This window comes from Homo sapiens, chromosome 15 (assembly GCF_000001405.40).
Source record: "Homo sapiens chromosome 15, GRCh38.p14 Primary Assembly".
In the NCBI taxonomy this organism is placed as follows: Eukaryota; Metazoa; Chordata; class Mammalia; order Primates; family Hominidae; genus Homo; species Homo sapiens.
In genome coordinates, this window is record NC_000015.10 from 57,169,610 (window position 1) to 57,196,811 (window position 27,202).

The following is a 27,202-nucleotide window of genomic DNA, read 5'->3' on the forward strand; positions in this document are numbered from 1 at the left end:
TTGGATCTTTAATATTATTTTTAAGAGACCTAAATGTTTGAGAGCCACTGGGCTAATGTTAACATTACTGCTAAACTTGAGGGGGGAGAAAACACTATTGTAAGCTTTTTGAGACCACAGCTAAGTCTAATAAATCATAGTTCATGCTTATATTAATGTTTTTATTATGTTCAAATGTTTTCACTTACGTATTTATACCCTCTTGGCAAAGGTATTGCTGTTTAGTTAGAGTCAGCAATAAGTTCTATTAATGTAATTGTCCAGTTTTGCAAAGGTGAATCTTAACAGTTTTTACCAAGGATTAATGTGCATTTGTACCACATTTAATTCTCATATCAAAAGACATTTATTTTAAACCTAAATGTGTAGCGCTCTAATAAAATTTGCTACCATTTGCTGAGCACTAACTGAACCAGCCATTGAACTAAACATAATCACATTTAATTCTTTTAACAACAACTCATTTTGCAGATTAGTAAACAGAGGTTCTCCTAAGGTATTATGCTTAAGGCTACATATCTAGCAAGTGGTAAACTTAAACTCATGCTTGAGTGTTTTGACTATATGACTATACTTCAGCATAGGAATCCATCAGATTTCAACTCCGTGCCCTTATTACCTTCCTTCATTTTTATTTGTTTGAGAAGGAGACAGGGAATTAAAAATTTTTTTTTTTTTTGAGGCAAGGTTTCACTCTGTCACCCAGGCTGGAGTACAGTGGCGCTCACAAGACCTCCTGGGCTCAAGGGATGTAAGGTTTAGAGTCAAGAGACCTAGGTTCAAGTCTCATCTCTACATTGATTTCTTCATCTGAAAGATAAGCAGTTTCTGCTTCCACCTATGTAGTAGGTCTCTGAAACTTAAAGTGTATGCGCTTGTGAAAACATTTCAAAAAATAAATACATAATATTAAATTTCTAAATTCATGTGGCCCACATAACAAAAGGTTATTTGGGTCTTCATATACCTCCCTGAGTAGCTGGGACTGCAGGCATGCAGCCGCCATGCCCTGCTAATTTTATATATATATATAATATATATATTATATAAAATATATATATATATAATATATTATATATAATATATATTATATATAATATATAATATATATATTATATATTATATATAATATATATTATATATTATATATTATATATATATTATATATAATATATATATATAATATATATATATAATTTTTTTTTTTTTTTTTTTAGAGATGGGGTCTCACTGTGTTGCCCAGGCTGGTCTCAAATTCCTAGGCTCAAGCAATTTTCCTGCCTCATCCTGACAAAGTGCTGTGATTACAGACAAGGGCCACCACTCCCAGAGGAAATTTAAATTTTTAACAAATGTCCAGGTGATTTTGATTCACATGGACTAGAGTTCATGCTTTAAGAAACCCAACTCCTCTGTGTATGCCAACTCCTCTGTGTAAGCCAATAGGAGTTATCCTTGGAGGAAACTATATGATTACTGTTTAGCAAACAGTTTATAAACATTTTGGAGAGATCAGGAAGGCCTATGGAAAAGAGAAGAACAAGGCTACTAGAATGTTTGATACAAAATAACAATATTGCTATATACAAGATTTAAAGATATTCAGATGAGAGAAAGATACCTTTTTTTTTTTAAGAATTCATAGGAGCAGTTCGTGAGCCCCAGAGAGGAAGCCCAAAATTCAGCAGAGTGGAAAGATTATTCTGCAGCAAGGATAAACTATTCAAAGGAAAACATGTATTCCAGACAGTATTTATTATAATGAGTCAGAGGAGGGACAAAAAATATACTTTAACTAACTGGCTGCCATTTTGTCTTACCTATTCACAAGCGACAAAAAAAATCCAAGGAAATATAAATAGTGACTCCAAAATTATACCCAAACACCACATTAAAACCATTTTTCTTCAACAGAATTCCCCAAGGAGCATTAACTCTGCTATTAATGTACATAAAATGCTGCTGACATACTGCAAAATTCAGACTAATTTAATAATGCCTGATGGGCCTTACTTCATGTTAAGATGATGTAATAATATGTTGCTAAATGAGTGTCATCATATTACATTCACAACAATCACATTAACTGATGAGCCATTAAAAGGAAACTCATGTGGCAGTATTACTGGAAACACTGATAGATCATTCTGCAGTTAAATTTTTTTATTGATGAAACACAGAGCATAGAAGCCAGTGTCTTTATTAATAATAGGTATATCACTTTAAAAACTACCACAGTTAAGTGAAAAATCCTTTTATCAGTATAACAAAGTTTTTCATTTATACCTCTTAAGCAAGTATTTATTCACATAGTTTCATAAGTTTTTCTCTAAGTGTTTAAATGTAGAAGGTGGCAGGGTCTTGGTTTTTTTCAGAAAGTGTGAAGTTCATCTGAGTTCAGATATTATACCCTTGAAAAAATGACAGCTTTAAAAACTGTACCTTACTTAACTCTTAGTTGTTTGGAGATAAGCTTATACCATTTGGTTTTTCCTTGTTCTTTTTTCCTGTTATACCCAATCTCATATGCAGACATTTATAATAATAAAATAATAAAAGAGTTGATGTATCAGAAAGACATAACAATGACAGATGTGTATACGCCTAATAAGAAAGCTTCAAAACGAAGCAAAACAAAAATTGATAGAATTAAAGAGAGAGATAAACAAATTGACAATCATGCTTGGAAAATTGAATACTTCTGTCTTAGCAGTTTGCAGAATAACTAGACAAAAAACTTAGTAAAGATGTAGAACAAAATTAACTATCGACAACCTTGACCTAAATGATATGTATAGAACTCTGCATACAACAACTGAAGAACATAAATTCCTTTCAGGGGCACACATTACACTAACAGGCTGGAATCATACGCTGGTCCATAAAACTAGTGTCAGTAAATTGGAAAGGTTTGAAACCATACAGAGTATGTTCTCTGGACACAAAAGACTTAAATAAAAACTCTGATGAGAACTCAGGGACACAAAGAAGGCACCTGTAGACACGGGGGCCTCCTTGAAGGTAGAGGGTGGGAGGAGGGAGAGGATCAGAAAAAATAGCTATTGGGTGCTAGGCTTACTTCTTGGGTGATGAAATAACGTGTACAAACCTCCCCGACACGAGTTTACCTATATAACAAAGCTGAACATGTGCCTCTGAATCTAAAATACAAGTTTAGTAAAAAGCAAAGTTGTATTAGAAGTCAGTAAGACTAGGTGTGGTGACTCATGCCTGTAACCCCAGCCCTTTGGAAGGCCGATTCAGGAGGATCACTTGAGCCCAGGAGTTCAAGACCAGACTGAGCAGCATAGTTAGACTCTGTCTCTATTAAAATTAAAAAAAAAAAAAAGAAAACTAGTCAGGTGTGGTGGCAGGAGGCTGAGGCGGGAGGATTGCTTGAGCCCAGGAGTTCGAGGCTGCAGTGCGCTGTTATTGCACTGCTGCACTCCAGCCTGGGCAACAGAGCAAGACTCTGTCTCAAAAACCAATGTCAGTAAGATATCTAGAAAAACACCAGATGTTCAGAAGTTAAGCAACATGTTTAAATGACCCATTGTTTTAAAAAGAAACCACAGGAAATTCAGAAGATATTTCTAACTGAATAATAATGAAAATGTGATATAACAAAATGTGTTGGTGCATCTAAACCAGTGCCTTGAAGGAAAGTATACTTTTGAAAGCTTGTATTAGAAAAGATGTACAGTGAATGACCAAGATTCTGCCCTAAGAACTTAGCTAGAAAAAGAAACACAAAGTAAACCCAAAATAAATAGAAAGAAGGAAATACTACAAATAAGAGCAGAAATCAATGTAATAGAAAAAACTAACAAAACCAAAATTTGGCTATTTGAAATAAATCATAAAGTTAACCCCTAGCTAGACCAGTTAACACAAGGGGAAGGAGAAGAGAACAAGAACACAAATTACCAGAATCTGGAATGAAAGAGAGGTTACTGCTATGAATCATATATACATTAAGAATATAATAAATATTATAACTTAGTAAATTTGACAACTTAGATTAAATAAATGAATTCCTTGAAAAATACTTACCAAGAGGAGACAAATTGAAACAAAATCTGAATCCATGTATATCTTTTTTTCTTTTTTTTTTTTTAGACAGAGTCTCACTCTGTTACCCATGCTGGAGTGAAGTGGTGCTATCTCGGCTCACTACATCCTCCGCCTCCCAGGTTCGAGTGATTCTCCTGCCTTAGCCTCCTGAGTAGCTGGGACTACAGGTGCCCGCCACCACGCCTGGCTAATTTTTGTATTTTTAGTAGAGATGGGGTTTCACCATATTGGCCAGGCGGGTCTCAAACCCCTGACCTTGTGATCCCCCCGCCTCAGCCTCTCAAAGTGCTGGAATTACAGGCGTGAGCCACTGCACCCGGCCTGTATATCTATTAATGAAAGTTAATTCATATCAAAAACCTTCCCACAAAGAAAGCATAAGGGTCATATGGCTTCTTTCAAAATGATTAATTCTTTCAAATGCTTAGGAAAAAAATAATACCAATTTTATACAAGTTAGTTTAGAAAACAGAGGAAGAGTGAACATTTCTCAGCTCTTTTTATCAGGTGAGCAACATCCCAGTAATACTCAAACAACACGTGTGGTTTGTAGGAGAAGTGAAAGTTTGGTTTAAGATTTGAAAATCCATGTATTTAGTTCACCACATTATAACAGAATCAAGAAGAAAAACAATGTGATCATTTCCATAGATACAGAAAAGATATTTGACAAAATTGAATACTCATGATAAAATCTCTCAGCAAGCTAATAGAAGGTAGCTTCCTCAATTTGATAAAAGACAAACATGAAAAAAATCTATGGCTAACAGAATACTTAGTGATGAAAGACTAAATGCTTCCCACCTAATGTCAGCACCAAGGTAATAATTTTTGTTCTCATCATTTTATGTTTTGGCCAGTGTATGAGGACAAGAAATAAGGTTATAGAAATTGAAAAGGAGTAAGTTGAATTTGCTGATGACGTGTTTGTGTACATAGGAAATCCTAAGGAATCATCAAGAAAACTTCTAAAACTAAATAGTACTTTTAGCTATATCACAGGATACAAAGTCAATCTAAAAAATTAATTGTATTTCTGTACACTATCAGCAAAAATTAGAAAATAAAATTAACAGAATAGTACTGCTTATAGTAGTATCCAAAAGCGTGAAATACTGAGGGAAGAATGTAACAGAAGATGGCAAAGCTTCAACAGTGAAAACTCAAACATCTGTTGGAAGGCTTACTGTCACTTAGATGTTAGTTCTTCCTAAATTGGGTTATAGATTTCAAGGCCACCCTGGGCAACATAGCAAGACCCTGTCTCTTTAGGGGAAGAAAACAAAACAAAAACTAAAAGACTTCTGCTTATCAAAAGACATAGGTTAAAAAAAAAATAAATCGGTAAGCCACAGTCTAGAAGTCCAGTATTTGCAAAACATATTTAACAAAGGACTGATATACAGGATATATAAAGCATTCCAGGCTGAGGCAGGAGGATTGTTTGAGGCCAGGAGTTCAAATTGCCTGGGCAACTTAGCAAGATTCCCATCTCTACAAAAAAATTTAAAAATTAACTGCAGGTGGTGGTGTGCCCCTGTAGTCCTAGCTACTCAGGAAGCTGATCACTCAAGTGATTGAGGGGTATCACTTGAGCCCAGGAGTTTGAGGTTACAGTGAGCTGTGATCATGCTGCTTCACTCCAGCCTGGGTGACAGAGCGAGATCTTGTGTCTTAAAAAAAAGAATTCCTACAACTCTGTAAGGTTAGCTAAGGCTTCTACAGTTTTTCTCTTTGTAACAGGAGGTTTAAGTACAGTGAATTAGCAAGTTTCCAGTCCCTTCTAGACTTATGTTGTATGGTAATGTCAAGAACAAGATCATTTCCACTTTGTAACAAGATTACACTGGCCTGCTGTTTCGCCAACAGGATTAATTAAAACTAGTTGTCTTAAACAGCAATTTTGATCTTTGTTTATGTAACAACAAACCTAATAGTAGCCTCAGTCTTGGGCAGAATTATTAGAAATGTAATATTTAGAACAAGAAAGTTGATACTGTATTGTATTCTGAGCAAACCTGTTTCAGAACAGGCATAAGTAAACCAACTCATTCAGAGAACTAAGAAGTTAGTTACTCAAATAACATGAAGAGCATCTTTTAAGTGTTTGAAGCATAATTCGACTTTTCTATAACTTTGAAGGTTAAAAAGTTGGACAATAGGTAGAAATTAAGCATTCCAGATTTCAGCTTAATTTTAAAAAGAAATGTTGTCATGTGTTGAGCTGTTAATGGCGTAGAACATTAAACCTTGGTAGATAAATGCCTTTCTCCCACTGGATGTTTCCAAGCAGAGGGTAGACATCTACTTTACTGGTATTTTATAATAGATTACAGTACCTATTGTTTGACTGAAATAAAAGACCTTAAAAGGGGCATGGTGTTGCATGCCTGTATTCCCACTCCTCTGGAGGCTGAGGCAGGAGGATTGTTTGAGCCCAGGAGTTCAAGGTTACAGTGAGCTATAATCGCATCATTGCACTCCAGCCTAGGTGACAGAATGAAACCCTGTCTCTAGAGAAAAAGAAATAGAAGACCTTAAAATGTTCCTCAATTCCGTGAGCTCTCTAGTGACAAGTAAAAGGCTTTCCAAATGGTGTTGATGATCCATCTGAGGTTGGTGACCAGAAATTACTGTTGACACTAACCTGTATGATTGTGTATGTGCTTCAACTTTTATTCTAATACTACCCAGCAAACTACATGTATAAGCACAGACAGCAAATGGTTGAATCAATATAGTGATCAGGATTGCAGGCCAGTTAGCTAGGTTAACAATGATGATACTACATAATAACTAGCATGTATCAGTCACTTGACCCTATAAGCATAATTTCATTTGGTCCCCGCCATACTCAAGTGGTGATATTGTTGCTGCTGTTGCGTCTGTTATTATTATTCCTCCCATTTGATAGCTGAGGAACCTGAAGCCTCAAGAAGTTATATAATTCACCCAAGATTTCATAGCTGGTAAATATTAGAAGGATAGGAGAATTGATGTAGTGATAAGAGAATAGTTGAAGTACTAGACCAGGTTTCAAAGGAAGGAAATGAAGCCATGATTAAACTTTGTGACTGGAAAAAAGGTCAAGATATTGGTTGTTATGCAGTGAAAGAGCAGGTGCAGTAAGTAATAAGGGAATGATGGCACTATAAGAAAAGGAGGTTATGTCAAAGAGTTGAATATTGGACTTACAGATTTCACAAGTCAAGTGGTTTCCAGGGCTAACAATCTAGTCCTCCTTTGGGGAGTAGATTGGTGATTTAGGGAATTGTTGGAGTCACGAAGATTAAGAAGACGTAAGACTAGCTCTTGGATTGATGTGGAAGCTATCCAGAGATGATTGACTCATAAGGTAGCATGTGAAAGGGGCCTACATGCACACTAGTTGGCACACAGTAGGCATTGAGAAAATGTTGTTTGAATCTGAACCATGTGATCTAGGAAAGAGTATATAAGTAAGGCTAACAAGCCATCAGCTGCCTGCAGAGTGATGTGCATTTTGTGGGTTGTTTGGAACATAGGTAAATAAATTGTTTTGTGGAAAGAAAGTCTGATCTTGGAGTATCAGGCAATAGACAATTTTTTTTTTTTTTTTTTTTTGAGATGGAGTCTTGCTCTTGTCACCCAGGCTGGAGTACAATGGCATGATCTTGGCTCCCTGCAACCTCTGCCTCCCAGGTTCAAGCAGTTCTTCTGCCACAGCCTCCTGAGTAGCTCGGATTACAGGTGCCCCCCATCACACCCAGATAACTTTTTGTATTTTCGGTAGAGAGGGGGTTTCACCATGTTGGCCAGGCTGCTCTCGAACTCCTGACCTCAGGTGATCCACCTGACTCAGCCTCTCAAAGTGTTGGGATTACAGGCGTGAGCCACTGTGCCCAGTCAATAGACACTTTTAATGTCCTATTTTTGTTAAAAGGCCAGAGAGAGAGAGAGAGAGAGAGAGAGAGAGTTGGATTAGGCAGGGCCTACTTGGCAGGGAAAAAACTTCATTCATTCTTTCTTTTATTTTTATTTTATTTACTTATTTATTTATTTATTTATTTATTTTGTGAAACAGATCTCGCTCTGTCACCCAGGGCGGAGTGCAGTGGCGTGATCACAGCTCACTGCAGCCTTGACCTCCCAGGTTTGGGTAATTCACTGCAGCCTCCTGGGACTACAGGCATGTGCCACCACAGTCGGCTAATTTTTATATTTTTTAGGTAGAGATGGGGTTTTGCCATGTTGCCCAGGCTGCATTCATTGTTTCTTTCTTTCTGTTCTCTCCATGAAAATTGATGATTATACTTTTGATGATACTTAGTGCTCGTTGGAAGCAGTTTCAGAAAGTCCGTTTATTCTTTCGTAAACTTATTTCAGGAGAAAAGAGCCTGTTAAATAATGGGTAGAGATTTGATGCCATCTCAAAACAGAAAAAAGAGGTGACAACATACTGGCTATTACATGATAAGGGATTATTGTCAATTTTGGAGCATGTAACAAGGGGTAGGAGATGGCAGAACAAATGAAGCCGGAACAACAGAATGTTGACAGCTGTCATAGCTGGGTGATAGGTACATGAAGGTTAATTGTACTTTTTTTTCCTACTTTTGTGTATTATGAAATGTTCTAAACTAAGAAGTTTAATGTTTTGAAGACGTCCAGTACGTAATGTTTCATTTTATAAAGTATGGCATGCCTAACTATATGTCTAATGCTATATTGGGTTTTTTTACTCTTAATTATACTTACAAAAATACAAGGAATTGAGAAGAGAGGATACTTAGTTGCTCCATGTTAAAGCTAGTATTAAAGAGAAAAAGAGTGGCTTCAAAGTATTAGAACTCTTCTGAAAATAGTAGTGCTACTTAACACCATTTCCACGAATACCAAAGAGAAATAAGATTTCATCTCCTGTTCTTCTAATGTTAGCACCTCACACAGCTGGCTTCTTTGTATTCATTAAAGAAAAGGCGCAAAGGCATACTGGTAACACATAGGAGAACATTCAGTTAGCCCTTTTTAATAAGAGAGTTGTAAATTCAGGCATTCAGAAAAACTACTCACTTTGAAGTAGACATGCTTAGAGTATGCTCACTACTAACCTCACAAGACTGCCTTCAAAAAATCCCCTATAGCATTTTTGGAAGTTGGACTTTTTATGGAAGCCTATACATTCCTAAAGGAAAGTCATTCTTATTCCATATTTGTAATTATTCAAATATTGCATATATTAAAATGACATTTAGCTTGTTCTCTTCATATTTCTTTTATTTCTAAGAAGTCTGTCTGTATTGATCTACATCCCGGATCTCTCTACTGTGATATCTTCTCATTGGCTGATAAAAGATTTGGGAGGGAAGTTGAGAAAAAAAAAAATTAGTGAAAAAGAAAAATTAAGATGGTAAAATTTCCTATTGCGACTAATAATTAAAGAAGATTAGGAAACTGAAACTACTAGATTGTCACGTTTTAGCACTGTAATATTACATGCATAGTTTATTTTCTTTTTTTGTGCTAGAAAGACTGGGCTGATTGACTGGGCACGGGACTCATGCCTGTAATCCCAGCATTTTGGGAGGCTGAGGCAGGCGGATCAAGAGGTCAGGAGTGCAAGACCAGCCTGGCCAGCATAGTGAAACCCCATCTCTACTAGAAATACAAAAAAAATTAGTCAAGCATGATGGTGTGCACCTGTAGTCCCAGCTACTCGGGAGGCTGAGACAGGAGAATTGCTTGAACCCAGGAGGTGGAGGCTGCAGTGAGCAGGAGAATTGCTTGAGCCTGGGAGACAGAGGCTGCACTGAGCCAAGATCGTGCCATTGCACTCCATCCTGGGCGACACAGCAAGACTCCATCTCAAAAGAAATTTTTTTTTTTTTAAAGATTGGGCTGATTTCGTTGGCAGGATACATTTGATGGATGACTGTCATCTTCTCAAACTTGCATGACACTTTATAGACAATATTTATTAAGTTTTCAAGAGGATATGTTGAGATTATAAAATTTGGGATTTGTAAAAGAACCAGTGTAAAAGTTGGCTAGTGGTGGCTGGTGGTTTTTTATTGACCTAGGAAAGGATTAGAAGCATCTCAGGTTTTCTTTCACTTTGTTTTTCTGTTTCCCCCCTTCTTCCTCCCCCAAATTAATATATTGTCCAAAGTGTTCATAATGACTTGGAACTATTCAGGTTGCACAAAGCATTTAATGAAATCTTGTCTTAGACAAAACACTAGAGAGGATCATAATTAATGTCTCATTTTCTGCCAGTTGCTATTGATTACTCATTCAAGATCCCTTTGTTCTCAGAATGATAACTGTAGTTTGCATCACTATCTAATGAGATTCTCAGGATAGAATTCTTTAACAACATGCTGATAATTGCTAACATATCCCTGAAATTTCAATGTAAATGAATTTGCATCATAATACAATTATTTTACAAATGGCGATATTTTCCAAATTTGAAATGTGTTAGTTTTTTTAATCATTTGTAGAAAATTAACAGAAGACTGACATATTATTAAAGCCCAACATTTATTTTTTGCCCTGAGTTGCCCTCACCCTTCGATTTTGATTTGATTATGACTTGGGGTGAGAGACTTCTTTATCATTCTTGGGTTACTCTGTCATAATCTCTGAAACTTCAAATGGATTTACAGCTAAAACACAATGATTTTTCGAAATTAGAACAACAACTGCAAATATGGTAATACTATAATAATTCTCCTTTTAGAACAATTTTGTTTCTTGATCCCTCAGTGACAAAAGAAACACGTGGTACTATAGCATAAAGAATCTGCGAAATCATAACAGTTTATGTATTCTGTTATAATTGTGTTTTATACCTTTCTATTCCTTTAATTTCCACATACTCCCTCCCCCAAAAAATAAATCTTTTGAACAGCTGCTTGCCTTTATGTATTTAAAACTGCATACCACTTCAGGGGTGTAAGATAGGCTTGAAATTAAGGAATTCTGTAGAATAATAACACAGCAGAGGTTCCATGAATTCATATCAGTATTTTAAATTTTTGGAGATATGTGACTATAACATATGAGGTACTCTCCATCTAATTTTCTTAAATAAATTAATAGGTAGTACTTCCAAATTTTAATCATAAAATGATGCTAATAATTTTTTTTTTTTTTTTTTTTTTTTTTGAGATGGAGTCTCGCTCTGTCGCCCAGGCTGGAGTGCAGTGGTGTGATCTCGGCTCACTGCAAGCTCCGCCTCCCAGGTTCCCGCCATTCTCCTGCCTCAGCCTCCTGAGTGGCTGGGACTACAGGCACCCGCCACCACGCCCGCCTAATTTTTTGTATTTTTAGTGGAGACAGGGTTTCACTGTGTTAGCCAGGATAGTCTCAATCTCCTGACCTCGTGATCCGCCCGCCTCGGTCTCCCAAAGTGCTGGGATTACAGGCGTGAGCCACCACGCCTGGCCGATGCTAATAATTTTTGACCTACGGTTAATTAGGCCCTTATTTGATGTGAAGTTATGAGTGGCTTGGCGTTTAAGCCAAGCCACTTAATAAAACCCAGTTCCGACAAAGTAAGCCTGTTTTTCAACACTTAATTTTCCCTTTCTGTTTTTTTTATTTTTTATTTTTTGGTCTCACTGTGTTCCCCCGACTGACCTCAAACTCCGAGGCTTAAGCAGTCCTCCTGCCTCACCCTACCAAGTAGCTGTAACTACAGGTGCACATCACTGTGCCTAGTTTATTTTCCCTTTTGAGAATAAAGAATATCCAAATTATAGCAGTATGATTCTGAATCGCCTCCTAGCTTACTGAGCAGCACCATTTTACATAGGATATTCTTCTGCCTCCCTACAAAATCATATTTAGAGTACCTTCTAATATAATTAACAAGAGTTCCCATTAAAAAAAGGATGTTGGCCAAGTCTACCTACTACTTTATTCCTTTCATTTACTTTTTGTTTATTATCACCACCAAAGCTTACACTCATCAAGTTCACATCTGGAAATTAAGCTGTTTCTTACAGATGAAGAGGGAGAAAAAACTTAAAATACATGTATCACATAGGCTGTTAAAGTTCCTTATTTTTAAAAATTGGAAATTTTGTTCACAGGCTAGAGGTTTGTCATATGTAATTCAAAATATAACTTACTTATTGTAGATTTTATCCCATAACCTAGGGCAGTCATCTAGGCTGCGTTAGTGTTTTGGGGGATAACCCTTTATTAATTATTCTCTAGTATTAGATATATTTTTCACAGAGAAAAATGTCTGGATGACTGTATCTATATTTTAGATATATGTATTTCTATAAAAGATAGTCTAGATGACTATAAAAAAGATTATTTTCCAAGAATATGTTAAGAAATTCATACTATGTAATTTCAGAATACTAATTCTTTCTTGAATAAGATAGCTCGGCACAATAAAACTGCTTTGCCTAGTTCTATATCCTCTGGGATCGTTCTGTATTCTTTTTGCCGGAGATACCTCCAGGACAAGATCAGTAGTAATCAATAATGCTTCTCATTTGTTTTAGGAAGACAGAAAAATCAATAATATGAGCTGATACCTAATTTTATTTTAGGAGAAGAAAAATAAAATAGTTGATGTGTGTTTCAGTGTTGCCTAAATGTTTGAAGAATCAAATAAAGAAAAATATATTATTTTATTAGTGTTAGAATATCAAAATCTTAGGCTTTTATAGTTTAGCACTTGATTTTTTAATTGTATTTTTTTCATTGTTTTGTTAAATATTATTTTGTAGACTGTCAAGTCCTTGTGGACAAAATTTTGTCTTAAACTTTTTGTATTTCTTAAGAGTACTGAAGAATTCATTTTAATTAACAGGATAAAATATGGTCTTGTATTCTTAAAAAGAAACAATTTTTTCTATATTTACTTTGCCTCATCTTATGGATCATGATACAGACTAAACACAGGAAAATGGTTATTTCTGTGATTAGGACAGCTGAAAGAAGTGTAACCTGTGCATCTTTTTTGGCATTAATATTCACTGTGGAACAAGAAGACAGGGCATTTCCTAACCACATATCCAGATTTGTCTATAGTGAGGAAAAAGGTTTATCAACACTAAAACTGGTAGCTAGTAAACTTGTTTTTTCCAAAAAAATTTGTTCTCCTTTTTTTCTTTCTTTACTATTGCATAGATAAAAAATCTGCCAATATGTGTTCTATAGTCATCTCAGCCTTAGGATTGTAATCCACAAATTCATTTATAAATCACTTACATGTTTTCAAGTTAACAATCTTAGAAATGATGCATGTTCCCGAGTTACTATGGAAGTCTTGTTGTATTGAGGAAAGGGCTTTCTGAGCAGACCTAGATTCAAATTAGGATTTCACTACTTGTTATCACTTTAATATGTGAAATCTATATAATACTTAAGATTGCTATAAATCCTAAATGAGATAGTACATTTGAAAGTGTATTAGGGAGTCCTCAATATTTTATTCTTCTTTGCTCCAACTTTTTATTTTGAAAAGTTACCAACCCACAGAAGAGGTTGAAGAATAATACAATGAACACCCATGTGAACTTCATCAAGAGTCATCAGTTAACATTTCACCACATTTGTATATACACATTCCTTTTCTTTCTACTCATTCTGCGTGTATGAATATATGTTTGTGTGCTGCTTATGACTTTATATACACAAATGCACACACTTTTGCTAAATCATTTGAGAATAAGTTGACATTTTCCTATTTATTCTTGATCTTAATTGATACTGCTTGAATCTGTCACACCCTCTTTGGATTTAGCATCTGTCAATCCTCTCTAGGGATCTGTCATTTCTGCCCCTATTCTCTTGCGTATTTCCAACATCCTTTCTTACCATAGCCATTGGGAATTGTAACCCAGTCAGCTTGGATTCAGGGCAGACAAGGTCTCCTGAAATCTTAGATCACTTACTTAAGACAAAAGGTTTATGCCCAGGAAACAGAATAAAAATATCATTCGTCTCATTTATTTTGTAATATTTAGAATGTAGTGAGTTAATGGGGAAAGAAAAAAATGAAACTGAGTTTTTTGTATTAACTAGGGCCAATAACTGTGCTGTACACTTTTATTTTTAGGCCTTGTTTACTTCCCCCAACAACCTTGTGAGCTGTTTGTAGAAGAGGGAAACAGACTCATTAATGTTAGATAATTTGTTCAAGATTACCAGTCAGGATTTGGACTCGGGATACCTAACTCCAAAACCAGTGCTGTTTCCAGAACATGAGTATTTGTGTAGATTTTCAGTGTACTTTTAGAAATATAGGAAATACACTTCCTGTTCATCATTTAGATTATTTCTTTCCTCTCTCAGCCCTTATTATGACTACTATTTGATTTCTTTGAAGAAATAATTCACTGGCTAACTTTTACTCATCTGAAAGTTTATGTTTACCTTATTAAGCAAACAGACTTCTCTTCACCACCCTGCAGACTTAGTCCTTTGTCCCTCTGACGTATTAGATTAGCAGCCAAAAAAAAAAAAGTTCTATAAAGGGCCAGATAACAAATATTTTAGGTTTTAACAGACCATACGTTTTCTGTTGCAACACTGAACGCTTAACACTGTTGCATGAAAACAGCCATAGCCAATACATAAATGAATTGTGTTTCATTTGAGACTGTTTTTCAAGAAAAGTATTTTCAAAAACAGACCCACTTTCTCCTCTAAGCTCTGGTTTTTTGACCCCTAATATAAATCACTCTCTTATATTCCCATAAGAATTTGTATGCCAGGGAATGTTAGTGTAAGGGACACTGTTGAGAGACATACACACATCCCTCCTTCTGATATATTTGTTTGTGTGTATGTTATGACCAGCTTCATATGTGCCTTCCCCATGAGAAAATGCAGATGAAGTAATAAATGCAGCAGGTACCTCAAAACATATCAATGAAAGTCAGTTTGGCACTGAGCAGGAAAAATCCTGTTGAAATACCAATGATATTTAAAGGAAACTTTAAGGTACTTGACCCCTGCCCTTAAGCATGTGGTAATAATATGTTCCATCTAGTGTACTACGAGCCATATTCTGATCTTGCCATTTAAGCAATATTGAATGTGCCCAGCCTGAGCAAAATAAAAGAAGGAAATTCAAAACAGATGTGACAATGGAAATTTCAGTATAACATCTATGGGAGATTTAATGATTCCTAGGTCATACTACTCTCACATAACACCATCAGAAAATTCATAGCTGATGGTCTGTCATATAAATAAAATACATATATGCCTATTGTTATATTTATATTGATCATTTTCTCCCTTTTATCATTTCTTCTGGAGGTTATTATTTTAATGGAGACTACTTCTCCTTTAGGTCTGATAATTACATCTTTCTCTCCCAATGTACCAAATGTTGTATCTATTGGAATTTGTACAATTAATGCTAAATAATTAAATTAATATTATGTAGCCTTCATATTCACATTATATTGCCTGGTAATTGAAATTGTCTTCTCTCTACTTTCCTCCTTTATAAGGGAATGTATCAGCTTTATCTAAAGAAAAGTGTACATTTTGAGGAGTCTGGAAAATTACATTCTTAATTATGAGTATTTCTGAAAGATGTGATGAATGACCTTTGGCTGGTTTAGTACATTGTTTGCTTCATGCTCCAACATTGTTGAATAAGCTTTAAAGAAACTGAAGCATTAAATGGAAATGAAAAGACATCATAGCAGAACTTAGGAGATGTAGCAGAAGCCTTAATCAGAGGGAAATTTATTATTGTAAATACCTACATTTAAGAAGAAGCAAGCACCAAATCAGTAACCTAACTTCATACCTTAAGAAACAAGTAAAAGAAGAACAAACTAAATTGAAGAAAGCAGAAGAAGAAAGGAAATAACAAAAGATTAGAACAGAAATAAACAAAATAGAGACAAGAAGGACAATATGGAATCAACAAAATCAAAATTGGTTCTTTAAAAATATCAACAAGGTGACTCACACCTTAATTCCAGCACTTTGAGAGACCAAGGCAGGAGGATCACTTGAGGCCAATTCAAGACCAACTGGGGCAACATAGTGAGACCCCATCTCTACAAAACAATTTAAAAATTAGCCAGGTGTGGTGGTGCACATCTAGTCCCAGCCACTCAGGAGACTGAGGTAGGAAGATCACTTGAACCTGAAAGGTTGAGGCTGCAGTGAGCCATGTTTGTGCCACTGCACTCCAGCCAGAGCAACAGAGCAAACTCCTGTGTCAAAAAGCAAACAAAAGTAAACAAAAAGATCAACAGAATTGACAAACCTTTAGCTAGATTGACTGAGAAAAAAAAGAACAGTGTCAAATTACTAAAATCACAAATGGAAATAGAGGACATTACTACTGACTTTATAGAAATAAAAAGGATTATAAGAGATTATTGTGAATAATTGTCTGCTAAAAAAATTGAATAATCTGGATGAAGTAGACAAATTCCTAGATATAAACACACTACCAAAACTGGCTTAAGAAGAAATAGAAAATCTGAACAGAGCTAAAACCAGTAAAGAAATAGAATTAGTAATAAGAATCCTCCCATAAAAGAAAAGTCCAAGGCAGGACCCAGTGGCTCATGCCTGTAATCCTAGCACTTTGGCAGGCTGACGTGAGAGGATCACTTGAGCCCTGGCGTTCAAGACCACCCTGGGCAATGTGGTAAGATCTGATGTCTACAAAACATTTTAAAATTAACCGAGTGTGATGGCATCCACCTGCAGTCCTAGCTACTTAGGAGGCTGAGGCCAGAGGATCACATGAGCCTGGGAGGTCAAGGCTGCAGTGAGCCATCATTGAGCCACTGCACTTCAGCCTGGGCAACAGAGTGAGACCGTCTCGAAGAAAAAAAGAAAAGTCCAGGACCAAACAGCTTCACTAGTGAATTCTACCAGTCATTTAAAGAAGAAATAATGCCAGTTCTTCCCAAACACTGCCTAATTAATTCTGTGAAGCCAGCATAATTCTGATACCAAAGTAAGACAAATATTACAGGATAAAGGAAATTACACATGAATATCCTTTTTGAATATAGATGTAAAAGTCCTCTACAAAAATACTAGCAGAGTGAATCCAGCAACGTATTGAAAAGATTATACATCACAGCTAAGGGAGTTTTATTCCAGGAATGCAAGGATAGTTTAGCCTATGAAAATTAGGCTGTGTAATTCTCACCACACTAATAGAAAGAAAGGGGAAAAAAACCCATATGATTGTCTCAATTGATGCCAAAAAAGAATCTCAGCTGAACATGGTGGCTCACACCAGTAATTCCAACACTTTAGGAGGCCAAAGCGGGCAGATCACTTGAGGCCAGGAGTTCAAGACCAGCATGGCCAACATGATGAAACTCTGTCTCTACTAAAAATACAAAAATTAGCCAGGCGTGGTGGCACACATCTGTAATCCCACTCCTTAGGAGGCCAAGGCACAAGAATTGCTTGAACCTGGAGGTGGACGTTGCAGTGACCCGAGATGATACCACTGCACTCCAGCCTGAGTGAGAGTAAGACTGTCTCCAAAAAAAAAAAAAAGATTCTGACAAAATCCAACACTCTTTCATGATGATAACATTTAACAAGCTAGAAATAGGAGGGAGGGAACTTAACTCCATTTGGTAAAGGTCATTTACAAAAAACCCACAGCTAATATACTTGTTGGTAACAGTGTGAAAACCATCTCGCTAAGATTGGGAACAAAACAGTGTTTTCTACTTTTACTGATTACATTCAGCATTGTACTGGAAATTCTAAACCAGGGGTATCCATTCTTTTGGCTTCCCTGAGCCACATTAGAAGAATTATTGTCTTGGACAGTACATCAAATACACTAACACTATGATAGCTGATGAGCAAAAAAATAATAATAATTGCAAAAAAATCTCATAATGTTTTAAGAAAGTTTACAAATTTGTGTTGAGCCACATTCAAAGCCGTCCTGGGCCACGTAACCCACAGGCTGTGGGTTGGACAAGCTTGTTCTAAACAGATTAGTGGCTGGGCATGGTGGCTCATGCCTGTAATCCTAGCACTTTGGGAGGCTGAGGTGGGTGGATCATGAGGACAGGAGTTCAAGACCAGCCTGGCCAACATGGTGAAACCCCATCTCTATGAAAAATACAAAAATTAGCCGGACATGGTGGTGCACGCCTTTAATCCCAGGTACTCAGGAGGCTGAGGCAGGAGAATCGCTTGAACCTGGGAGGTGGAGGTTGCAGTGAGCCATGATTGTGCCAGTGCACTCCAGCCTGGGAGCCTGGATGATAGAGTGAGACTCCATCTCAAAAAAATAAAAAATAAACAGATTAGCTAGCCAAGAAAAAGAAATAAAAGGTATCCAAATTGTAAAAGAAGTAAAACTATCCTCATTTGCAGACGATATGATCTTATATATACGAAATTTTAAGGAATTCACAATAAAACTATTAGAGCTAATAAATAAATTTAGTAAAGTTGCAGGATGTATGGTTTATTAGTAATAAACCAAAAATAAAATTAAGAAAACAACTCCATTTACAATAGTATTTAAAGGAATCAAATACCTAAGAATTAATTTAATTTCTTTAATTTTTTTTTCATTTCCCTTGAAAATCACTAAGAATTAATTTGAACATGAAATATAAGACTTGTACCCTGGAAACTACAAAACACTGCCAGAAGAAATTAAACAAGACTTAAATAAATGTAAACACATCTGGTATTCAGTCCATTTGAACACTTAATATTAAGATGTCAGTATTCCCCAAAGCAATCTGTGGATTCAATGCAATACCCATCAAACTTCCAATGGCTTTTTTTTGCAGAAATGAAAAAGTTGTTCCTAAATTTATATGGAATTTCAAGATCCCAAGTAGCCACAACAATACTGAAAAAGAACAGTGTTGGAGTAGTTACCCTTTCCAATTTCAAAACTTACTACAAAGCTACAGTTATTAAAACATATAGACCAATGGGATAGAATTTGGAGTCCAGAAGTAAACCTAAACATCTATGGCCAATTGATTTTCAACAAGATACCAAAACTACTGAATAGGGAAATAGTATTATCTTCAATATATGGGACTGGGATAACTGGATATCCACATGCAAAAGAATGAAGTTGTACTTCTTCATCACAACATATACAGAAATTATAATAATTATCATTATTTTGAGACAGGGTCTCACTCTGTCACCTGGGCTGGAATGCAGTGGCATTATCATAGTTCATGCAGCCTTAACCTCCCAGGCGCCAGCGATCTTCCCACCTCAGCCTCCTGAGTAGCTGGAACTACAGGCGCACACCATCACACCTGGCTAATGGTTTTAATTTTTTGTAGAGATGGGACCGCCCTATGTGGCCCAGGCTTGTCTTGAACTCCTGGGTTCAAGAGATCTTCCTGCCTCAGCTTCCCAAAGTAATAGGATCACAGGCGTGAGCTGCCACGCCTAGCCTACAGTAATGAACTCAAAATGGATCAAGGACCTGAATATAAGAGCAAAAAACTATAAAATTCTCAGGAGAAAGTCTAGGAGTATATCTTTATGACCTTGAATTTGGCAGTAGATTCTTAGATACAACATCAAAAGAATCAGCAACAATATAAAAATACTTCATTAAAATTGAAAACTTCTGTACATCAAAGGACATTATCAAGACAGTGAAAAGACAGTCTACAGAATGAGGGAAAATTTTGCAATTCATATATCTGATAAGCCTAGTATCCAGAATATATAAACAACTCTTACAATTCAACAACAAGAAGATAACCCAGTTAGAAAATGGGCAAAGGACTTGACTAGACATTCTTCCCAAGGAGATATTCTAGTGTACATCAAGCCCATGAAAAGATGCCCAATATCATTAGTCATTAGGGTTATGCGAATCAAAACCACTGCAAATGAGATACCACTTTGCCCCTCAAGGATGGCTGTAATTTAAAAAGCAAACAGAAACTAGGCAAGGATATGGAGAAATTGGAACCCTTGCACATTGCTAGTTGGAATGTAAAATAGTGCAGCCCCTGTGGAAAACAGTTTGGCAGTTCCTCAAAAAGTTAAACATAGAATTACACATATGACCCAGCAATTCCACTGCTAGTTATATACCCAAAAGAATTGAAAACAATTACTCAAATACTTGTACATGAATATACATAGCAGTACTATTCACAGTAGTTAAAAGCTGGAAACAACTAAAATGTCCATCAGTGGGTGAATGGATAAACAGTTTGTGGTATAGCCATACTAAATGGAATATTATCCTAAAAAGGAATGAGGTACTTTGATACAAGCTGTAATATAGATGAACTTCAAAAACATTCTAAATGTGAGAAGTCAGACACAAAAGGCCACATATTGTATGAGTCCAATTGTGTGGAATATCCTGAATAGGCAAATCCAGAGAGACAGAAATGGATTAGTGGTTGCCATGGGCTAGGGGAGGGTGGAATGGAGAGTAAGTGCTTAATGGATCTGGAATTTCGTTTTGGGGTGATGAGACTGTTCTGAAACCTAGAGAGGTGATGGTTGAACAACATTTTGAATGTACTAAATGCCACTGATTTGAAATGAAATGAAAACATTCAGTGTTTATGTTATATAAATTCCACCTCAACTTTTTAAAAAGCTCAAACACCAAAGAAAAGTCATTTAAATGAGAGTTTTTCTTGACTGTTAGACTGGAGGCAGAGATTGGGCTATTAGGGCTACTGTTCCAAAGCTCTGCTCCTGCTTTTTGACCAGAGCTGAGGTTTTATTTCTCAGTTCCTTTGTGATACTTGGTGGCTGAAACAACTACTTTTTAAGAGTATGGTGATGGCAGTAAGGGGTATTAAATATATGATGGGGGATTCGTAAATGTACCAGAGGAATCACAGTTCTTTTCACTTGAGAGTATCTTCTCAAGTGTATTCAACCCCCCTTCCTTTTGAGGTCTTCTTTCCCTCTCCTGTCTTTCAAGTCTCTGTGATCCTATTTCATCTCATCTACCAGAAATCTTGGTGCAAAATTCTGCCAAACTAACCTCGTTTGTTTTGTGAGAGGGTTACTGCATTAGTAGGTTAGAGCTGCTGAATCTCTGAATTATAAATGAAGCACTTCACAAAGTCTCATAATGTCACTGTAGCATACCTCAGAGCTCTCTCCTCACCCTTGTCATCCTGATGGGTTTTCTCTTAATCATATTTTTGATGCCTAAGATATTAAAAAGGCTAGCATATACATTGGTTGACAGATTAAGAATCTGAAAAAGATGGGAATGGATGATAATGGTGGACGAAGTATAACAAGATGAATTTTATCAGAGATAAATGTTAAGTCTTGTATTTGGGACCAAAAAGCACAAACTGAACAAGTACAACATTGGAGGGACATGACTTAATAGCAGCAGATGCAACAAAATGAAGAACCACGTAAGCATGTGATCATTCTTAACCCCTTAATGCGAGCTAACATAAATAGATTGCTTAAATATAGTGTTAAAAAAGAGATGGTGAGGAGGACTCTCAAACCCATGTCATGAGACTCAAGTGAAAAAAGCAGGAATGGGCCAGCTGCAGTGGCTCACACCAGTATTCCCAGCTCTTTGTTAGGCCAAGGTGGGAAGATTGCCTGAGCCCAGGAGTTCAAGACCAGCCTGGGCAATATAGGGAGACCCTATCTCTACAAAAAACTTAAAAATTAGCTGGGTGTGGTGGCACATGCCTGTAGTCCTAGCTGTTTCAGCAGGCTAAGAAAGGAGAATTATTTGAGCCCAGGTTCCAGGCTATAGTAAGCTGTGATCGTGCCCCTGCATTCCAGCCTGAGTGACAGAGCATAATCCATCTCTAAAAAGAAAAAAGGAAAGGAAGAAGAACAGAATTTCTGCTGCCGTATGTGTTCATGAAAGTATTAAAGCAAAGACTAGTGACCATTTTTCAAAAATATTGATGATTAAAAAGTGTGATACCACACAGCCACTAAAGTGTCTTTCAACTCTAAGATTTTATGGATCTACATAATTATTAAAAAGCAGACAATGTGGCTGGGCGCAGTGGCTTACACCTGTAATTCCAGCACTTTGAGAGGCTGAGGTGGGTGGATCACCTGAGGTCAGGAGTTTGAGTCCAGTCTGGCCCACATGGTGAAACCCCGTCTCTACTAAACATACAAAAATTAGGCATGGTGGTGCGCGCCTGTAATCCCAGCTACTCAGGAGGCTGAGGCATGAGAATCGCTTGAACACGGGAGGCAGAGGTCGCAGTGAGCTGAGATCTTACCACTACACTCCAGCCTGGGCAAATAAGTGAGACTCCATCTCAGAAAAAAAAAAGAAAAAAAGGCCGACAATGTGAGGGTGGAGAAAAAAAGAGAAAGTAGGTATGGGCTGAAAGCAGTGGTCTAATTGAATTCAAAACGTACTTAATGGGTGCGTTCTAAGTTAAGACATTGCTGAAGTTGTAAATAATTCAGAAGTGATGAAATTTTCAGGTTTGGGTCAGTATCAGCAGGAAAATAACTTGTTTCCTTGGCCTTATTTTATAGTCTAGTCTCCTGAGACAAGATCTGGGGCTTGGGAGCCCAGCACAGCTATCTTCTTCAGGAAAACCTGGGACAGCATACTATTCATTCTCTGCTACAAGTTCCAGGAGGAGACCACTCCATGACTCTGCAGCGCTTGGTGAGTGTATCACACAACAAATCCCATCCCACATATGTTGTTGTTGTTTTTTCCTCCCATAATCTGTACTTCTGGCTATGCTTTTTTTTTTTTTTCTTTCCGTTTCTTTGTTTAAGACAGCGTCTCACTCTGTTACCCATGCAGGAATGCAACAGCACAATCTTGGCTTACCGCAGTCTCAACCTCCTGTGCTCAAGCCGTCCTCCCACCTCAGCCTCGCAAGTAGCTGAGACTATAGGCATGTGCCACTGTGCCTGGCTAGTTTTTTATTTTTTGTAGAGACAGGGTTTTGCCATGTTGTCCAGGCTGCTCTCGAACTCCTGATCTCAAGTGATCTGCCCACCTCAGCCTCCCAGAGTGCTGGGATTACAGGTGTGAACCACCGTGCCCAGCCCTGTCTGTGCTTTTAATTAGAAGAGAGTTGGATTCGTGGGTATCACATTGATGTCAGGGCTTATTTGCACAAGAATAATACATCCATTAAATATTTAATAAATGAAATTATCAAAATTCTTACTTTTATAAATACATTGTAAGTTTTTAATGAAAGGTTTGGCCATGAATAATTTTGGATGACTGTTCAATTTGTAAGCCATAATTTTAACAAGTTTCAAACAGCCAGTGTAATACTCTTGCTTGGTCCTCACATGAGCAACTAAGTAGTGAAAAATGAGACTTAACTAGTTTTCCTTCTTGTAATTAGAATTTCATGTTCTAATGTTAATAACTTAATTCTTTACTAAAAATGATATAACAAAATTTGCAAGGTGGTTTTATATACATTCTCATCTCATCAGTTCACCAATCCTGCTAGTCAGTTGCTATAAATAGATTTAACATAAAAACTGAGGGTCAAAAGGGAGGGCAGGCACATTCATATAATTAGTACTTAGGATAAAATTTTAAGATTTTCTAACTCCAGGTTCATTGTCTTTTGCATATTACTTGCTTCTGCACTCCACTTTGTTTTTAATTGAGGTTAAATTTACCATATTAAGTTGTACAGTTGAGTAGCATATACTACATTCACTACATTGTGCCGCTGTCACCCCTATCTAGTTCTGAAACGTTACTGCAAAAGCAAACTTTGTTCATATGAAGCATTCAAACCTCATTATTTTTTCATTAGCTCCCTTCTTTTATGTCTTACACATAGCCTAACCAGGCCAGTGCCTTTTGTTTTACTGCTTACAGCAAGCCTTAGGTATTCTCTGATGCTTTATCCAAACTGTGTTTAAATGTCAGAATTTCTGGTGATTTCTACCAAATATCTTTTAAACAAGATACTTAAAGCTGCAAAGCATTTTTAAATTAAAAGTGGGCCAGCTTCTAATATATAGTCCACCAAAAGATTATGTCACATTTTTTTATTGCACAGGCATTTGATGACTGCTTCATATTTATGTATCTACTTTCTATTAACCTGTGTTTTGGTGAAATATTCCTGGTCTCTGGGTCTAGGGTTTGCTTGTGGGTATAAAAGGGCACTATGATAGATCATCATATTCAGCATAGAGAACTCTGATTAGATGTGTCCACTTCTCAGTATCATGGATGATTTAGTATGTTTACTATTAAGTCAGCCCAGGTGATTTAGACCAGTATACTTTTTGTTATTAAAGAAAGGATAAATTGTAAATGCATTTTTCCATCTCCAGTCTTGTTTCCTACCTAATGAGTTAGTCAGAATAGGAACATTGATTGGAGTCTAGACGTGTCAGTGTTACTCTAGAAAAATAACTTGTTAGTATGCTATGTGAGTATATACTGTGACAAAAAGCACTTAGTACAAGCTAATACACTATTAAGTTCAGGGGGAAAATTAGTTATTGAAATAACTAGGGAAGAGGGGAGTAAATTTCAGAAAAATCCAGACTTAAAATTCAGGTTTTCTATAAATTAAAACTTGTATCTTCTTCATTTTAATTTTGATTATGATGATAGACACTATTGATTGTCTCTTCCATGCCAGGGGCATTGCTGTACACACTACATTTTCACAAAACCTCTGTGAGGTTGTAATGTTAACTTCATGTTACAAATGAGGAGCTAAGACCCAGAGAAGCTAAATAATTTGGCCAAGGCTTGAGTTGGGATATGGTAGTTCTCTTGGTGCCCAGGGAGGTCCACCGATTTCCTGTGTAAATGTCATTTAGTGGGTTCTTACTACATTCTTTATGGCTGTTTCTCATTGTTAGCCGCTCTTTCTTAGCATTACAGTTATTGATAAAATCTCAGCGTTTAAAAGCACTCTTGAGATGATCTGCATCAACCTCAGCATCTTCACAAACTATTTAGGTGCTTTAGGAAATCAGCATGCTGCATAACAGTATCTAATTACCCAATTTATAATCATTTTTCCCCACATTTTAATGGAAACCTAATAATAATGGCTAAAATTTGTTCAGTCTCATACTTGTGTTAGGCACTCCCCTAAGCGTCTTTCACGTATTATCACAATACATGAAATACACAAAAGGATGTGTTACCCCCTTTTTACATGGAGGTAACTGAAGCTCAAAGAGGGTTAAGTAACTAGCTGCTATATGATGGAGCTGGAATTAGAATCCAGCCAGCTTACTCTCTTTTTATTCTATTCACTTATATTTATGTATTTTTCTTTTTTGAGACGGAGTTTCACTCTTGTCCCCCAGGCTGGAGTACAATGGCATGATCTCGGCTCACTGCAACCTCTGCCTCCCGGGCTCAAGCGAGTCTCCTGCCTCAGCCTCCCGAGTAGCTGAGATTACAGGCACAAGCCACTGTGCCTGGCTAATTTTTGTATTTTTAGTAGAGAAGGGGTTTCACCATGTTGGCCAGGCTGGTCTCGAACTCCTGACCTCAAGTGGTCCTCCTGCCTTGGCCTCCCAAAGTGCTAGGATTACAGGCATGAGCCACCGCACCCAGCCATCTCTTAGCTATTATATTTTGCAACTTCCCAGAAGTGGTCGGTGAATCCCAGGCTCTCATGATTTTAAATCAGACATTTTGTATTTGATTGTATAGTGGTGGGTAACCAAATACAAAAGAAAAATTTCTTTTCACATGGCAGTGGAAAAACTGGCCTAAACTAATCTTTTACTAATAATGACCTCTAAGTAGAATGATAGGCTCTAAACTGGTAGGGGCAGTTCAGTTGACTGTTTTCGTACAAGGAGTATGGCTTTTGTTCAAGGGAATGCTGTATTAGTTGTGAGTAGTTGGGGTTTTATAAATACAGAGTGTGCCAGATGTTGTTCATCTTTGGCACTTCTGTTTTAAGGAAATATAGGCTTGCCTCTTGGGGTCAGAAATGAATACTTCCCCCCTTTGCTGTTGTGTACAGTTTTCTTCATATGCTACATATAAAGTTGCCTTTTTAACTTTGCAGCCTCCTGGGATATTCACTGTAGAGAATTCCCAGTCCAAAGTTAAATGGGTTAAACTGGGGCCGGGCATGGTGGCTCATGCCTATAATCCCAGCATTTTTGGAGGCCAAGGCCGATGATCACTTGAGACCAGGAGTTCAAAACCAGCCTGGGCAACATAGTGAAACACCTCTCTACAAACGAAATTTTTTTAATTAGCTGGGTGCGGTGGCACACACCTGTAGTCTAGCTACTCAGGAGACCAAGGCAGGGGAATTGCTTGAGCCCAGGAATTCAAGGCTGCAGTGAGCTGTGCTCATACCACTGCACTCCAGCCTGGCCAACAGAGCAAGAACCTGTCTCTGAAAAATAAATGGGTTAAACTGCATGTTTTATTGTATAGTGTCATTTATGGACCAGGAAAATATAATCCCAGCACTTTGGGAGGCCGAGGCCAGAGAATCACTTGAGGCCACCTCTACATCCATGGGTTTCTCATCTGTGGATTCAGCCAACCACAGATAGAAAAAAAAAAAAATGTAATGGGTGATTGCATCTGTACTGAACATGCATAGACTTATTTTTTTCTTGTTATTATTCCCTGAACAATACAGTATAACTATTTACATAGCATTTTCATAGTATTAGGTATTATACATAATAATGTAGAGATAATTTAAAGTATGTAAGAGGATATGCATAGGTTATATGCAAATACTACACCATTTTATTTAAAGGACTTGAGCATCTGTGGATTTTTGTATCCTCAGGGATCGTGGAACCAATCCCACTGATACTGAGGAATGATTGTGCTGTGATTGTTTAATTCCCATTTTTACAGCTTTCAAAAGTATTACACTTTACATCAGCTTCCTCATGTGTTCTCTCTTCCTAATAATGAGCCCCTCAGAAAATTCTGAATTTGATCCATTTTTTGTGTAAACCTGGAACCCTGTGTTTATCACTTTGTTTTACAGTAAATAAGATGAACAAGTTTTATATTTTACATATAAGTAAAATTAACTCATCAAGTGAGACTGGTTAACATATGAAATACTCATGTTTTCATTTATATTGATAAATTCTGAGAAAGAAATATACTTTCTCTGTCAAGTTATTTCCTGGAAATATAAACATTCAAGGACAAATTGTACAGTAATTAATGCTGTAG

General features: G+C 36.8%; 1 protein-coding gene across 26 annotated transcripts in view, besides 1 other annotated feature; it reads left to right on the top strand.

The window, feature by feature from the left end:
• Positions 1 to 27,202, top strand: part of TCF12 (transcription factor 12) — a 373,221-nt gene that overhangs the window by 251,520 nt on the left and 94,499 nt on the right. For 24 of the 26 annotated variants that reach the window (NM_001322151.2, XM_011521960.4, XM_047432971.1 and 21 more), the window contains one exon: positions 22,549 to 22,684. In NM_001322151.2, coding sequence (NP_001309080.1) covers positions 22,549 to 22,684 — 136 coding nt within the window. Of the gene's footprint in view, positions 1 to 22,548; positions 22,685 to 27,202 lie in introns of those variants that run through there. The other 2 variants (NM_001322154.2, XM_047432978.1) reach the window with 2 other exon arrangements.
• Positions 5,588 to 5,788: a silencer, noted in NCBI's record as "peak2352 fragment used in MPRA reporter construct". NCBI's record gives its function as "represses an SCP1 promoter by STARR-seq MPRAs in K562 erythroleukemia cells {active_cell/tissue: K562}" and the evidence as "EXISTENCE:reporter gene assay evidence [ECO:0000049][PMID:32103011]".